This window comes from Homo sapiens, chromosome 10 (genome assembly GCF_000001405.40).
Source record: "Homo sapiens chromosome 10, GRCh38.p14 Primary Assembly".
Taxonomy (NCBI): Eukaryota; Metazoa; Chordata; class Mammalia; order Primates; family Hominidae; genus Homo; species Homo sapiens.
In genome coordinates, this window is record NC_000010.11 from 17,027,817 (window position 1) to 17,042,378 (window position 14,562).

Sequence of the window (14,562 nt, forward strand, 5' to 3'; positions counted from 1 at the left end):
AATCATATTTTGCCTATAATGCTTCCTTTTATCATAACTAGATTTTTATTATTAATTAGGCTAATTATTTACAAAAAATTATTTCTTTATTCCCATGATGTGACTATCACACATTGCACGCCTGTATCAAAACACACCATGTACCCCATAATATATACACCTATTAATTACCCACAAAAATTAAAAATTTTAAAAATAATAATGTCTTCAGATGTTCAGGGACTGACGGTTTCATGTAAACATATGTTTCGATAGTCACTGATGGAGCAAGGGCTCCTAAATCCCTCCCTAGTGGTAAGTGAAATGCTTTGAAAGCTAAGCATACTCTCCTGTGTATACATGAAAATTTAATTCCATAAACCTCAGCCTTCCCTCTGCCAATTATCCTGCTACAGTAAAACACTAAACATTTATTATTATTATTATTATTATTATTATTATTATTATGCCTCTTAAAATTCTCACCACCTGCTGCAGATGGTCTCAGGAACAGAGAAGAACCTGGTTCATAGAACAACGTGAAATCATAGACCTTTGAGCTGGAAGAAGCCAGAGGACTGCCATCCGGGCTCTCCCTGAAGACAGTGAGATCAGGAAAAGAAAGTCTATTAAATAAAGAGCCTGCCGGGTGCGATGGTTCACGCCTGTAATCCCAGCACTTTGGGAGGCCGAAGTGGGTGGATCACGTGAGGCCAGGAGCCCGAGACCACACTGGCCATCAAGGCGAAACCCTGTCTCTACTAAAAATACAAAAATTCGCCAGGCGTGGTGGTGGGCGCATGTAATCCCAGCTACTCAGGAGGCTGAGGGAGGAGAATGACTTGAATCTGGGAGGCGGAGGTTGCAGTGAACTGAGAATGCAACACTGCACTCAAGCCTGGGCAACAGAGTGAGACTCTGTCTCAAAAAAAAAAAGAAAGAAAGAAAGAAAAAATAATAAATAAATAAATAAAGAGCCAATGTAGGAACTGCAGGGTAAAGACGTGTTTAAACAAAATTCTGTAATGTTGCAATTGGAAATCTTTCCCATTTTAAAAAGTAGAAAGTCAATATAGTTAACTGAAACCCACAACTGTGATTACCAGTGTTTAAAATTTAGCATTTTGCTCAATGCATGCTTATTCATACCATGAGCCTGTCTGATAGTGGAAGAGACCTTTCGGTTGCCCTGCCTTTCGCCAGTCTGAGGAGCAGAGCAACCTGAGGTCAACCAGGAAAGGCAGTGTGCATAGGACAATTCAAGTTCTGAGCATCTAATGGAATTTTTACTGCTTCAGGGTAGTTCAGAAATTATTTTAGGTTTGATTATTATTCATCCTAATTCTGTCCTTCATGTTTGAAGAGAGGAAACACGCAGAGTTTCTTTTGAATCTGAGAGCAGAGGCTCTTTTGAAGGTTGGAACGTTGGTTCATTAACTGCTGCAAATTAATGCAATCATACGAAAATCCTTCATTGTGAAAGATGGTCAGAAAAGATCAGCATTTCTTTTTAAGGAAAGGGATTCTGATCACACTGAAATAACATTTCTTCTTTCAATTTTTTATAACTAAAAAATCACATTTTACTCAGGCAATCTTAAAACCAAAATTTCTTCTAAAATGCCTCATGCTAAACTCAACGACACTACAAAGCATCTGGCTTCGCTAACTAATGGATATACTTCATTCTAAACTTTTTTTGAATCCAGGTATCATGCTTAGTACGGTGCTAGACTCATATCTGGTATCAAGTTATAAATTGAAATGTTTGGTAAACTCTTCCCAGCTTTTATGCATGTTTTTGAATAGCAGCTGAACTTAGAATTGTAATAGCTTATCTCTAAGCTCTAAGCAAAATGCAAAAGTCCCAGAAGCAAACTTCCTCTGACAGACAGTTCCAGGAAGCATGACTCATCTGCCCAGGAAGCGTTGGCGGTGGAGCCATAATCAAAGTCGGCTCAGATCCACCGCTGCTCAGACAAAATCTCATCTGCTTCTCTGCATCTCGCCAACTGGAAAACAGGATTTTATCTACAATCCCAGTGGCTTTTGTAGGAAAACTGGGAGGCAGGAGAAGCAGCACTGCTTTCAACACAGTGGGGCCAATTGATGTTAATTACAACTGGGAAGGCTGCTCTGGAAACCACAGATTTATTTACCACAAAATGCTATAGAGCAAGAGCCCCAGTCCCCAGACCAGTACTGGTGGCATCAAACTCTCATAGGAGCATGAACCCTATTGTGAACTGCACACGCGAGGGATCTAGGTTGCGTGCTCCTTATGAGAATCGAATGCCTGATAATCTGTCATTGTTTCCCATCACCCCCCAGTGGTACTGTCTAATGCAGGAAACCAAGCTCAGGGCTCCCACTGATTCTACATGATGGTGACTTGTATAATTATTTCACTATATATTACAATGTAAGACTAATGGAAATAAAATGCACAATAAATACAATGCACTTGAATCATCCTGAAACCACCCTCCCACCCCACCCCCGGTCCGTGGAAAAACTGTCTTCCACAAAAACAGTCCCTGGTGCCAAAAAGATTGGGGTCTCCTGCTTCAGAGCACAAAAAAATAATCCATGAGACTATGTTTATGTTAAAATAACCATAGATAATATGTATTAGCACTTATTCCATGCTGGTCATTATTCTAATTTAAAAATCCTAGCAGCTCTGTAATGCAGGTAGTATTGTTATCTTCATTTTAGAGTTCTGGAAACTGAGGTAGGTAGAGGTTTAGTAATTTAATATTTTGAAAGGCATCAACTACTGAAGAAGAATTTTTCCTATTTCCTTCTGTGGCAGTTCTTTTCTTAAGAATAAGCATTGTTGGTCGGGCGTGGTGGCTCATGCCTGTAATCCCTGCACTTTGGGAAGCCGAGGTGTGTGGATCACCTGAGGTCGGCAGTTCGAGACCAGCCTGACCAACATGGTGAAACCCCATTTCTACTAAAAATACAAAAATTAGCCAGGTGTGGTGGTGGGTGCCTGTGGCCCCAGCTACTCGGGAGGCTGAGGCAGGAGAATCATTGGAACCCGGGAGGCACAGGTTGCAGTGAGCCAAGATTACGCCACTGCACTCCAGCCCGGGCGACAGAGTAAGACTCTGTCTCAAAAATAAAATAAAATAAAATAAGAGTTGTTAAACTCCAGGATACAGAAAGTCTTTATTCTCTGTAATAATAGAGAGTAACCAAAACAATTTTTAAAATGATAGGGACAATACGAACACTCCTGTTAGTCACTGAAATTAAAATTTTTTTCATTATTTTTCTTAACGGAGCTTTGAGTAAAATAAGTGGACAAAAATTGTTGGTTTTATCATTTGTCATTTATCCTTAGTGAGAAGTGTCAAAATGCATTAACCATGCAGGCTGCAGGCAGAAAACAAGAGGAAAATTAAATGTCTTGAGAAATGAATCATTAATTATATCTCAACCTAAAGAATTGAAGGCTCTCTATTTGTGAATTTCTCTATACCTTACTGAGATGTTTCTCTTACATCAGCATCAGTGCAAATAATAACAGTGAACATTTATAGATTTGTTCTCTATTTGCCAGACCTTGTTTTGGCTCTTTACATATATGGATTCATTGACTCTTATTACTCCGTTTTACAGAAAGGGAAAGTGAGGCACATAGACACTAAGGAACTTGCCCAAGGTCACCTAGCTACTAAGTAGTGGAGTTTGGGTTTAAACTTCATTCTGAAGTTACCTGCTTCACTCTGAAGCAGGTACAGAGACTACCAATTCAGCACATTCTATCATATGTCTGGGTGCCTAGAAGACATTCTCTTGCGAACGAGTGCTAGAGGACTTACTACATCTTTGTCATTAGCATCCCATGGTAGTCACCAGATAGAAGAGTGCTGGCTGAGGCAGTTCTAATTCCAGTGACTCCCCTCTAGAACAATAGAAAGCACAGTGCCTGGAGCTGTTTTCAATAGGGAGCTAAAGACTGGCGTTTACCTTTAAACCAAGCAATTTGGAAATTGAAGAATCATCCTTGGCACCTGTTTGGAATCTGTTATGCCATCATGTGACCAGCAGTGACGTGCACTGCAAACACAAACACTGATTTACGCTTCACTTATTAGAGCGGATGCAAGGTCTTTCCAAGGACAGAAGAAATTTGCCTTTAAACAGATTCGGAGAGCACAGAGAGAAAGCAAAGCCCTTATGGAGAAGTCCATGGATCGAGTTAGGGAACTCGGAAGAGAAAGAAAACAAAATGTGAACTCTGCCTGGAGAGGAAGATAGACCTCGCCAGGGAGGAGCCACTGCTCCTAACTGGCAGGGCACAAGGAATGGAGATGGCATTTGCAAGAGATGGAGGTCAGCTGGTGTAAGGGTGAGAAACCATTTCCTGAAGTGTCCCAGGAAGAAGCTGAATGACCAGGCAGGAGCTGGGCTCTCTCCAGAAGGGGCGTGGAGGGGAGTAATAAGCATTTCCTGAGGACTCAATATTTTCCAGGTGTGTGGATTATTATCTTCATTTTACACACGAGAGAACCAAAGCAGCCAGACGTTAAATTCCTTGCCCAAGATCACAGCTGGTAAAGAGCTTTGGAGCCAGGTGGACTCCAGAGCCCACACTGTATTCGTGCAGCACTGAGTGTGAACGTAGTTTCATCACTTCATGTAGTGATGACACTTCCTGCACTGAGTATGGTTCCCCATCTCAATCCCTGTTCTCCTGTGAGCATACTTATACTCAGTTACTGGACTACTATGAGGACAGACAATTATATCTATCAAAGTATTGGTAGTAGTGTCTAGCACATGATGGGCATTCCATTAATGACAAATATTACTGTAATTCTCAAAATAACATCTGAGATGCGAATAACTCTCTAATGCCTCATGAACTTCAAAGTTTGCTTGTTTGTATGAGGGGAAAATGAAATAAACTTGGAAAATATCTCTAGAATAATGTTTTCCTCAGAATGTTCTATGGAATACAAATGTCCAATAGATGTTCATTAATCAGACTTCTGGGCAAGGATAATCTCTTTGGGACTAATCTCCCCTGGTGGTTTTCCCTGCGTCCAGTTCTATCTATCAGGCTATATTCTGATGTCTCCCTTTCCTTCATCCTGTTGTTATCCATCTCTGTCAATTGTACCTCCTAAGTGCTCTGAAATCATTCGATCTCATGCTTCCTCCCCAGCAATGGTGAAGACCTGGAGTTCTCTCTCCCTTGGCCTATAGCAATCCCCTTACTGGGTCTCCACCGTTACTCTTACCTCCCTCCAGTTTATTCTGGTAGCCAGAGTGATTGTTTTAAAAGTGCAGATCTGACCACATCCTTGAAAGACCTCCTGCTGCTCTCCAGGAGGTCTCTGAAACTCTTAATGTGCCCACCCTGCTCTGCAGGCCAGGTCCCTGTCCACCTGAGAGCCTCACACTGCTCTCCTTCCAGTCCCTCACATCTCAAGCCTCCTGGCACCTGGTGTGTTATTCATCCTCAGGGAGGCCTTTCCTGACCCACAAAGGAGCTCAGTTCCCATCTCATGCCTTCTGGGTGCACTATAATTGTCCCTCCCAGCACTTAACGCTGCCTGTGGTTAAATTTTTATTGTGTGATAAATTGATTAAGGTGTGTTTCCTCCATCATGACAAGGAAAACTGATGCTAAAACAGTCACATGTCCATAGCCTAAGTGTCTAAAATATATCCTACTGACTGGATACATGGATAAAGGAATGAAGAATGCATATTTAGGATAGTGACAGCCTGAGGAAATACCACAGCAAACGCAAAACAAAACAACAAACCCTGCTTAATTGTGTTTTAATTTGGCATATCGCAGATTTATTAGAATATAGGTCTCTATTTGTGAAACATCTACCAACATTTGTGGCAGAGACAGTTATGTGGCTTCTGCAAATTGACTTCCCCTTCCTTTGGTTTCATGAACTACCACATGGAAGCCAGGAACACCTGCCTTTTACTCTGATGTGATTAGAAATAACCTGTGTTGCAGTAAGCAACTGAGAATGTATGAGTTCTCCATAACAGCTAGCATCACTTTAAGTATTGACAATATCCCATGAGCCCGATGTTTCTCAGTCGTGGTATATGGAAAATGTTGTTTAGGCTGTAGACATGGAGAATATGGATGTGACACTGCAAGATTCAGGGATACTGGTGATGTTTTTTATCCATTCTTCCTCTTGGAATGCATTATTTTGCAACTGAAAGGAGGATACGGGAGTGCAACAAACTGTGATATAAGCATCTGGGGTGAACAGGATGACATCAGCAAGGATTTGGCAAGAGATGAAATGCATGTTATAAAGACTGGAGGGAAATGCCTTTGACTGAAGTCCCCCACACTATCACGAGGACTTGAAATGGACTTTAGTGGAAAAGGGGAAGGAATAAGGAAATGATTTAATGGAAGATGATAGTGGTCAAGGTGCCCGATAAGGAAAAGGGGGAGAAAGTTTAGAATCAGAATACAAAAACTGTAAAGTGAATCTGACATTTTTAATATAATGAGGTAAACATAATATCAACTGTATGACCAGGCCTTGGTGAGATAAAATACATAACTCAGCCATAGCAATGGAAGAGTAAGTCCTCACTGGAAAGTAACATTTAATAGCAGGCAAATGTATGTTAACAAGATGCCTATTAAGATACTTTTCCCTCCCCAGGAGAGAGCATTGAAGTGAGGATAAAACAGGCTATCTTGGTGGAAGTGGGCTATGAACAGTGGTCTCAAGTGCTGGACCAGGGGCTTGTGCAAAGCTTGCTCTTGGGGAATCCTCAAGGATTTGGTTAAGTCTGGGATGAGGACTAGGAATAAATTTTTCTAACAAGATCCCCAGATGATTCTGGAATGCAGCCAGATTTGGTAGCCAGTTATAAGGACTTTATCCTCCCACCTCAGCTTCTTTTCAGTAGAGACTGCAATCTTTTGTAAAGGAAATCTATAAACACTAATGTACCAAAAGAGATCTACAGGAGTGGCGACGGGGAGACTGTTTCAACAATCTGGACACCTATGAGATGTCTTGTTCCCCCAAAAAATGTAGCATTTGTTGAATTCTTTATATGCTCTCTTCATATAAAGGAGACAGTGAAGAGAAGTGCAACTCTGGACTAATTCTGGCTAGCAAAGAAGTGGTTGTTAATATGGAAGTCACCAAGACAATAGGAGACAGTGATCACCTTGCCTTAACTTAGAGCCTGTGATGGCTGACCACTTAACCGGACTAAGGTTTTGGGGATTCAAACTTCAAAACAAGATATAAACCTATGGATAAAAAAAAAAAATAAACAAATGAAAACGCAATTGAAAAAGGAAAGAACATTCTAGAAAATTGGCAAATTCTGAAAAACTAAATTCTCACTACAAAATCAGGAATAATTTTGGGGGGTGCAAAAAAGGAGAACCCTCTAAAGAAATCAATCTAAGCAGAAATCCAAGAGGCTCCATGGAACTTTCTGACCATTTTATGGGTACACATACGAACTAGCTAAACTTTGGGAAATGGCACAGAAAAATATTGTTGAACATTAGAAAAAATGTCTAATTTTAAGGCTGTGACTAGGGCAAATGAAAGAGGGAAACACGGATGGCATGGATGCTTTCAGAAGAGAGTGTGATGTCAATGAAGAGGAGGTAGAAACATGCCTAGTTTGATTTTGAAACTGGAAGAAGAGACATGGAATTCCAGTTTAGAAGATAAAAGAGTCAACTCTTTTCAATGAACTTTTCCAGGCTTAAGGGAATTATATGCCACAGCACTGAAAGGTATAGTGATTACAGAGCTGATTTTGTAATCTTGGTGAATTCATGGGTGCATAGTTCATGGTTAATGTTTTCAACGCAGCCATAAAAAAGAGCAAGATCAGGTCCTTTGCAAGAATGTGAATGGAGCTGGAGGCCATTTTCCTCAGCAAACTAATGCAGGAAACAGAAAACCAAGTACTGCATGTTCTCACTTATATGTGGGAGCTAAGTGCTGAGAACACATGGACACAGGACAGGGAAACAGCAGGCACTGGGGCCTACCTGAGGGTGGAGGGTGGGAGGAGGGAGAGGATCCAAAAAAATAATGAGAACTAGGCTTAATACCTAGGTGATGAAATGATCTGTGCAACAAACACCCATGACACAAGTTTACCTACATAATAAATAAGTTCAGGGTATGTGTACTACTATCAGGGTAGTGCACATACCCTGAACTTGAAAGTTAAATTAAAAAAAAAAAGTTTTAGCATTCCAGCGGAATCTATGCCCCTGCTCACAAGTTCTGCTTCTGCCCAGAACATAATCTGTGAACATCACCGGCTAGAGGGCTTGGCTACACTGCCCTAATGAGTATCGTCCATAGGCAGGCTAGACCCATGCATTTGCTGTCGAGCTCAAACACATGAGCTCCCTGTGCTGGGGATTTGTCACCAAGGGAAAGTCTGGTTGTATGCAAGCACTTGAGGTAAATGATCCTGTAGGGTCAAGGCTGGGGTGGTCATGTTGTTGAAGCTAAAATTCCGAGGTTGCTGAAACTCAGAGGAAGCCTTTGGGGAGAGGGATGGGAATGGATGGGAACAGTCAGGGAGCAGGAGCAGAGCCTTAGGAAGTGGGAGTGGAGAATCTGCCTCACTCTCTTGGCTTCCCACCTTCTCCAGGCTTCTCAGCCTCTCCTGTGTGTGGGGAGGTGTGAGCCTTCTCAAAGTAACCAGCCTGTCACATGCGCCTGTCCTCTTCATGTGGCTCAGATTGTGTTTCGGTGCCACCACCAAGAGTGCGAGCCCAGACAAGGAGAACCAGCAGGGCTGCCAGGGGGCTGAAGGGAAAACGTTCCAGCTTCCAAGATGGGGAAAGATTCATTCTAGAATCTCGTAGATCAGTAAGATTAACAGTAATTTTTGGAAAAATTCTAAATTAGACACTAAAAATAATTTGTCAACATGAAGCAAAGAAAGAGGTGATTATAATAAATGGCACCTGCTTATCTATGGAGTCATGCAAAACATTGATTTCTCTTTGCGGCAGTGTCAATAGAATGGTAGACTTGGGGGCAGCAGGAACACTTCCCCATGATCCCTGTGAGGGTGACAGGACACTGTGAGAGTGCTCCCGGGGTATGTGGTGTTATGGCTGAGAGCATCGGTGTGGAGTTACAGTGCCTGCTAGAAAGCCGGCCTTGACACTTATAATCTTTCTGAATATGAACAACCTATATCTGCCTCACTTTTCTCACCTAACGAATGGGGATAATATTTCTTATAATACAGGGTTGCTGTGAGAATTACCTGGCAAATAATACATGCTGAATAAATATTAGCTTTTATTACCTAGTAGTTTGAATAGTGCTATTCCAAAAGCACTTAATAATAGATCAATTTTAACCAAAAGAACTTATCATTTAAGAGTATTTGAAATAGATGCAATCTTGTTTGACATTTTTATCAATTATTTTTGAAGAAGTACTAGGTCAGTGGCCAATGAGTCTGTATGCAAATGAATAATGCTCTGAAAAGCAATGAATGAAGATTTAGGGAGGTCATGATGTGTTGGGATTCTCAGACAAAATCAAATCTGATTTATTAGGAAAAATATCTCTGTTTAGATTCTTAAAAATCATATAATCATAAATTCATAATAATTCATGTAAAAGTGATATGGAGATTATAAATCTTGATATAGGCCAATATCATGACTTAGCTACAATAAACCCCATTTAACTTCAGCATAGACCACCAGAAATATATGAACTGGATAATACGGTTCCAACCTACTTGGGCCTAGCCAGGTTTAGTTGAACTGTTGCATCCAATTCTGGGGCCACATTTAAAGAGGCACTGACATACAAGAGAACATGCAAAGGAGTGTGTCCCACACACGTGAACTAGATGAGGACCAGTTAGGGAAATGAAGGATAAGGATTGGAGAAAAGAAGCCATCACTTACTCTGGTTTGTTACAGAGAGCCTCAGAATTCAGGGACCTAGACTTCAGTCTACACTCACTCTCCTCTTTGTACCTCTTTACACTGTCTGGTTCCTGCTCTCGCCCCACAAACACTGCTCTGACCAGAGTCACATTGATCTCCAAGGGACCCTTCTGAACCACAACCTCTCTCGACTGCTCTTCCCTTGGCTCCCATGACACAGTCACCTTTTTTTTTTTTTTTAGACAGGGTCTCACTTCGTCACCCAGGCTGGAATGCAATGGTGCGATCCCAGCTCACTGCAAACTCCGCCTCCCGGGTTCTAGTGATTCTCCTGCCTCAGCCTCCTGAGTAGCTGAGATTATAGGCCTGAGCCACCGTGCCCAGCCACAATCACCTCTTAGTGTTCCTACTTCCTCTTCTCACTACACACATGCTCCCTGTTGACTTAACAAATACCCTGGGCTTCCTATACATCTCCATGTTGATTTCTCCCAAATCTATCATTTCCATTTCTATATTCAATCACTCGTTTGAAATCTCCTTTTCTGCATGGAGACTCAGACTCAAAATAAAAATGGAAGACTGAAATCAAGTTGTAAAATACAGCCAGAACTCTTCAGGTTGATTCCCCATGTTTGCACGGGCAAATGGTCTCACTCCTTTAAGCAAATGGTCCCTTCTCCCACTGTATATTTTATTTCCAGATCTGAAATATTTTGTTTTGCCCAGAGGGTGAAATAATAAAGGATGCATTTGGTTTCCAATGGGATCTTTTCAAACCCATTCCTCTCATCAAGGCGGGATAGTGTCTGACCAGCACGTAATTAAGTCTTTTTGTAGTTTCCATTTTATTAATTCAGAATAACTAAATTCTGGCTCTAGTAACAGGCATCCAGTTGGGATTTGGGGAAGTCAGCTGAAAAAACCCAGAAGCGATTAAAATAATGGAAGCTAGATTTCTGTGTGTGTGAGTTTTCTCTCTGTAAATGGTTGTTTGTGTGTTAAAATTTCCATCATAGACCAGCTATTGCAGCTATTGCTCTGGTCTGGCCTCTTGGCTCACAGAGATGGAAAACAATCTCCTCCCTCTGGCAACAGCGCCGTTTTTTTGGAAGGCCTTTCTGAACTTCTGGTTCTCATTTTGTATTTTTGCTCTTTCACCGTCAATGTTGCACAAGAGAAATGGCATGACCATAACATGACAGACACGTCATCCATAAGGGGCTCTAATGAGCTACTCTGCAGTTGCTGGAACAAGCATTTTTTAATTTGAGTTTTTAAACACCTTTTTGTTGCCATTTCATCCTCAAATGAGTCGAAAGAAATGGAGTTCAGGTCCTGGAAATGTTTCATCTCTTTCCTCCCCCCTCTTTCTGCCAAAGCCTCCTTTAAAGCCCAATTCAAAAGCATCCTCCTTTCTGTGGCTTTCTCCATTACGCTTTACCAAATCACGATTATGGTGCCCAGCACACTGTTATACGTGCAACGCTCGGCAAGATCATGAGTCCTATTTTGGTTTGTGCTCCAATTTGTAGGATTGCACTGCGTGTGTAGGAGGTCGTACAAAAACGCCAGTTTGGAATTCAATCTTTCTCATTCATTAGTAGTTATCATTAGACTGATACTAAAATATGGCTGTGATATTCAATTCAACTTGAACTTACTGAACTCCTGTAATGTCCCACCTGTATAATAAGTGCCTGGGTTACAAAGTTAGTAGGAGACAGCACAGACCTTCGAGAAGCCCACAGTCCAGTGGGAATCAGAATAGTCCTAACTGGTAAAAGGAGGTATGACCAACTGCTGTGTTCACGGTATAAACAAAGGGCTTTGAAAGCAACTTTTCTGCTTTTTCTAAAACACAAACAAGGTCTCACCATGTGAAGAAATGGATGCCTATTCTAGTAGTATCTTAATGATACCATCCTGGTATCATTAAGCTTGTGAAGACCAGTTGAACTCCAGGTCAAGGAAGGTGGACTTTAAAACCATTGCCAAGTACGTGCTTGTAAGTTTGTTTCATGTTGTGTCATATTTTCTTAGAATACTGGTAAACAAAACTTTCTAATGGGTAAACACTATGGCTAATATTTCTGTAATATTGTACTTTTGTAAATATAAGGCAAAATTTTTTCCCAAAAAATTATCTCTGAAAAACAAGGGAATCTCCTTATAGTTAGGACCTCACAGAGTCTCTCAAAGTGCAGAATGCTTTGTTGTCACTCTTTGTTTTCATAAACAAAAGTGCTATTTGGAAAATATATGTTAACCTCAACCAACCTCAACCAATGCTAGTTTTCCTATACAACTTGTAAAAACACAATTAAGAACATTTTACAAGAATAACATATTTTTTCCTGGGAATATGACCCCAGAGTTGCCAGCAATGGATGTTGAAGTCTTTGTAAGTAAGACTTCTAAAAATCACTGACCACCTTAAAAACAACTACCTTAAGTCACTAGGCTGCAGGTAGGAGGGCAGGTGGGAAAAAAAATGTCCTGTTATCAGAGCAAGTACTTATCACTTCAGAAAGGGTATCTAGTGAAAACATTATATGTGGATTTTTTGAAGTATTATATATTAACAATATAGACAGAAATAAAGATAATGCCTTAGATGACTCAAAAAGTTATTTTACTGATGATGAAACGTAGATGCCAAAATAACCTCCCAATTTGTAGCCCTAAAAGTTACATATGCAAGTTATCAAAAAGCTTTTTAAGTTAAAATTTCTTATTGCAAAAATAACATATTACCTTATATTCAAGGTTGCCTAATATTTAAGCAAGATTTATTGCCTGAAATTGCATACAGACAGTTGAATAAATGTTACTAGTGGTCATGATTATAACAATTGAAACTTCAATTTTACAAAAATAAAAATATACTGAAATGAACTTACATTTAAAAATAAAAACAACAATTAAAACCATGATACCTCATACTAGAAAAATGACATCTTAAATAAATCCAAGATACCCAAACATTTTCTGATCTCTTATACACAGAGAACAAACATAAAAACAACCAACAAAAAATAGAGGTTATTACTCTCCTTCCATGTAAGTTAAGTAATATGAGGTCAATGAGTCCAGAAGTTACACTGAAACCTAAAAACATAGATAGTTCTCTGTATTCACAATTTAATACATTAAATATGAAATATACCTGTTCAAATACCATGGGTGGTTGGTGTGTTATAGATGCGTGGGGCAGAGTTAGGGATTTTATTCTAAAAAGCATGATGGATTCTAACTTGACACATCTCCCTTGATCTGAAAAAGCAGTGATCAATCAAGCTTTATAATACATACCTCTAAATAATCTGTGGAGCAGTTTATGTGATGTTCCAAGTCAAATGCTAAAAATGTGTAGTTCACAGTGTTGCCTGTTGTTGCCCGGATGGTCCAGTTGCAATGCTGATTTTCAGAATAAGGATTCGGATACCCTATACTCTCTAAGATGCCATAGGTTTGATTGACTATTACCACATTCTCACATGCTGGAAAAAGAAATGACTGTTAAGAACCACTATTATATACTTCATAAGTGCTCCAAGATGAGATTTTCCTTTAAAAAAAATAAATAAAAATCATCTGTGTATGTACACACACACATATATGATGTGTATATATGTGTGTGTATATATACACACACAGAGACACACACACATATATATTTGGTGCAGTATTTTCATAGTGAAAGGATTTCCATTTAGAAGAAATGTGAAATAATACTGAAGTGAATTCAAACTAAAGAGTCATGAAAATTAAATAGTCATGTTAAAATAGGCATCAAATTCCCTTGAATTTGTGGAGAGCAGAATAACTTGGTTATATTCAGGGATCAGTCTGATTTGTTTGTTAGAGAAGCGCATTCGACGTTCTGTGCTGCTGTTTTTTTAATGTTAACACGTGGAAGGGACAGAAATTCTGACTTTTAAATTCAACAGTTTAAAAACCCAAAATCCTATGGGAATGCTAAAAACCAGTAACAACATGGCTTTGTTGAACATTCAAAAGTCTGCATGAAATTCACAATAAAGGCTCCGTTCTCCCTCTAGTTAGTCATCAGGAAGTACCAAGCGAATAGATAGAGTAGAAAGGATTTAAAGAAGAAAGGAAAATGTGAAATTACAGAAAAAAAGTCTTCAATCCAATGGTGGCATTTTCTTGAGCTGAGTTTTCAACAAAACCAAACCAGATACCTCTAAGTATGTCTAATCCTGGGTGCCCAGTTCAGCCAATCCTAATGACTTAAACAAGGAATATATTATCTCTATGATGTGCAATAAAAGAGAACGGGAAATAAACATTATATGGAATGAGCTGTCTCTGAAAGTGTGATTCATAGATGTATTCCTACTACGATATGCTTTCTGAAGGTGGGTAGAACACCATTTATAACTTTGGTTTAAAAAAGTGTACATTTGTGGCTCTTCAAAATATTGCTTTGTTGGAGCAGGGAGAATACTTAAACCCATTCTGTTTGAAAATCTTTAGGTCACAGTTTTGTCCATAAAGGATTTTTAAAGAATAATCTTATTGTTTTAGAAGACTGTGAGAAGGTACACCTATTAGGCAGATAGGCATCACGTGCCTCGATGACTAGGGGCAACACAGGGCCCAGGAAAATACATTCCAGTAAACCACATGGGCCA

The 14,562-nt window shown here is 39.9% G+C and overlaps 1 protein-coding gene across 2 annotated transcripts in view; it reads right to left on the reverse strand.

The window, feature by feature from the left end:
- Positions 1 to 14,562, reverse strand: part of CUBN (cubilin) — a 305,846-nt gene that overhangs the window by 203,851 nt on the left and 87,433 nt on the right. For both annotated transcript variants that reach the window (NM_001081.4, XM_011519708.3), the window contains exon 27: positions 13,217 to 13,404. In NM_001081.4, the coding sequence (NP_001072.2) occupies positions 13,217 to 13,404 (188 nt within the window). The remainder of the gene's footprint in view (positions 1 to 13,216; positions 13,405 to 14,562) is intronic.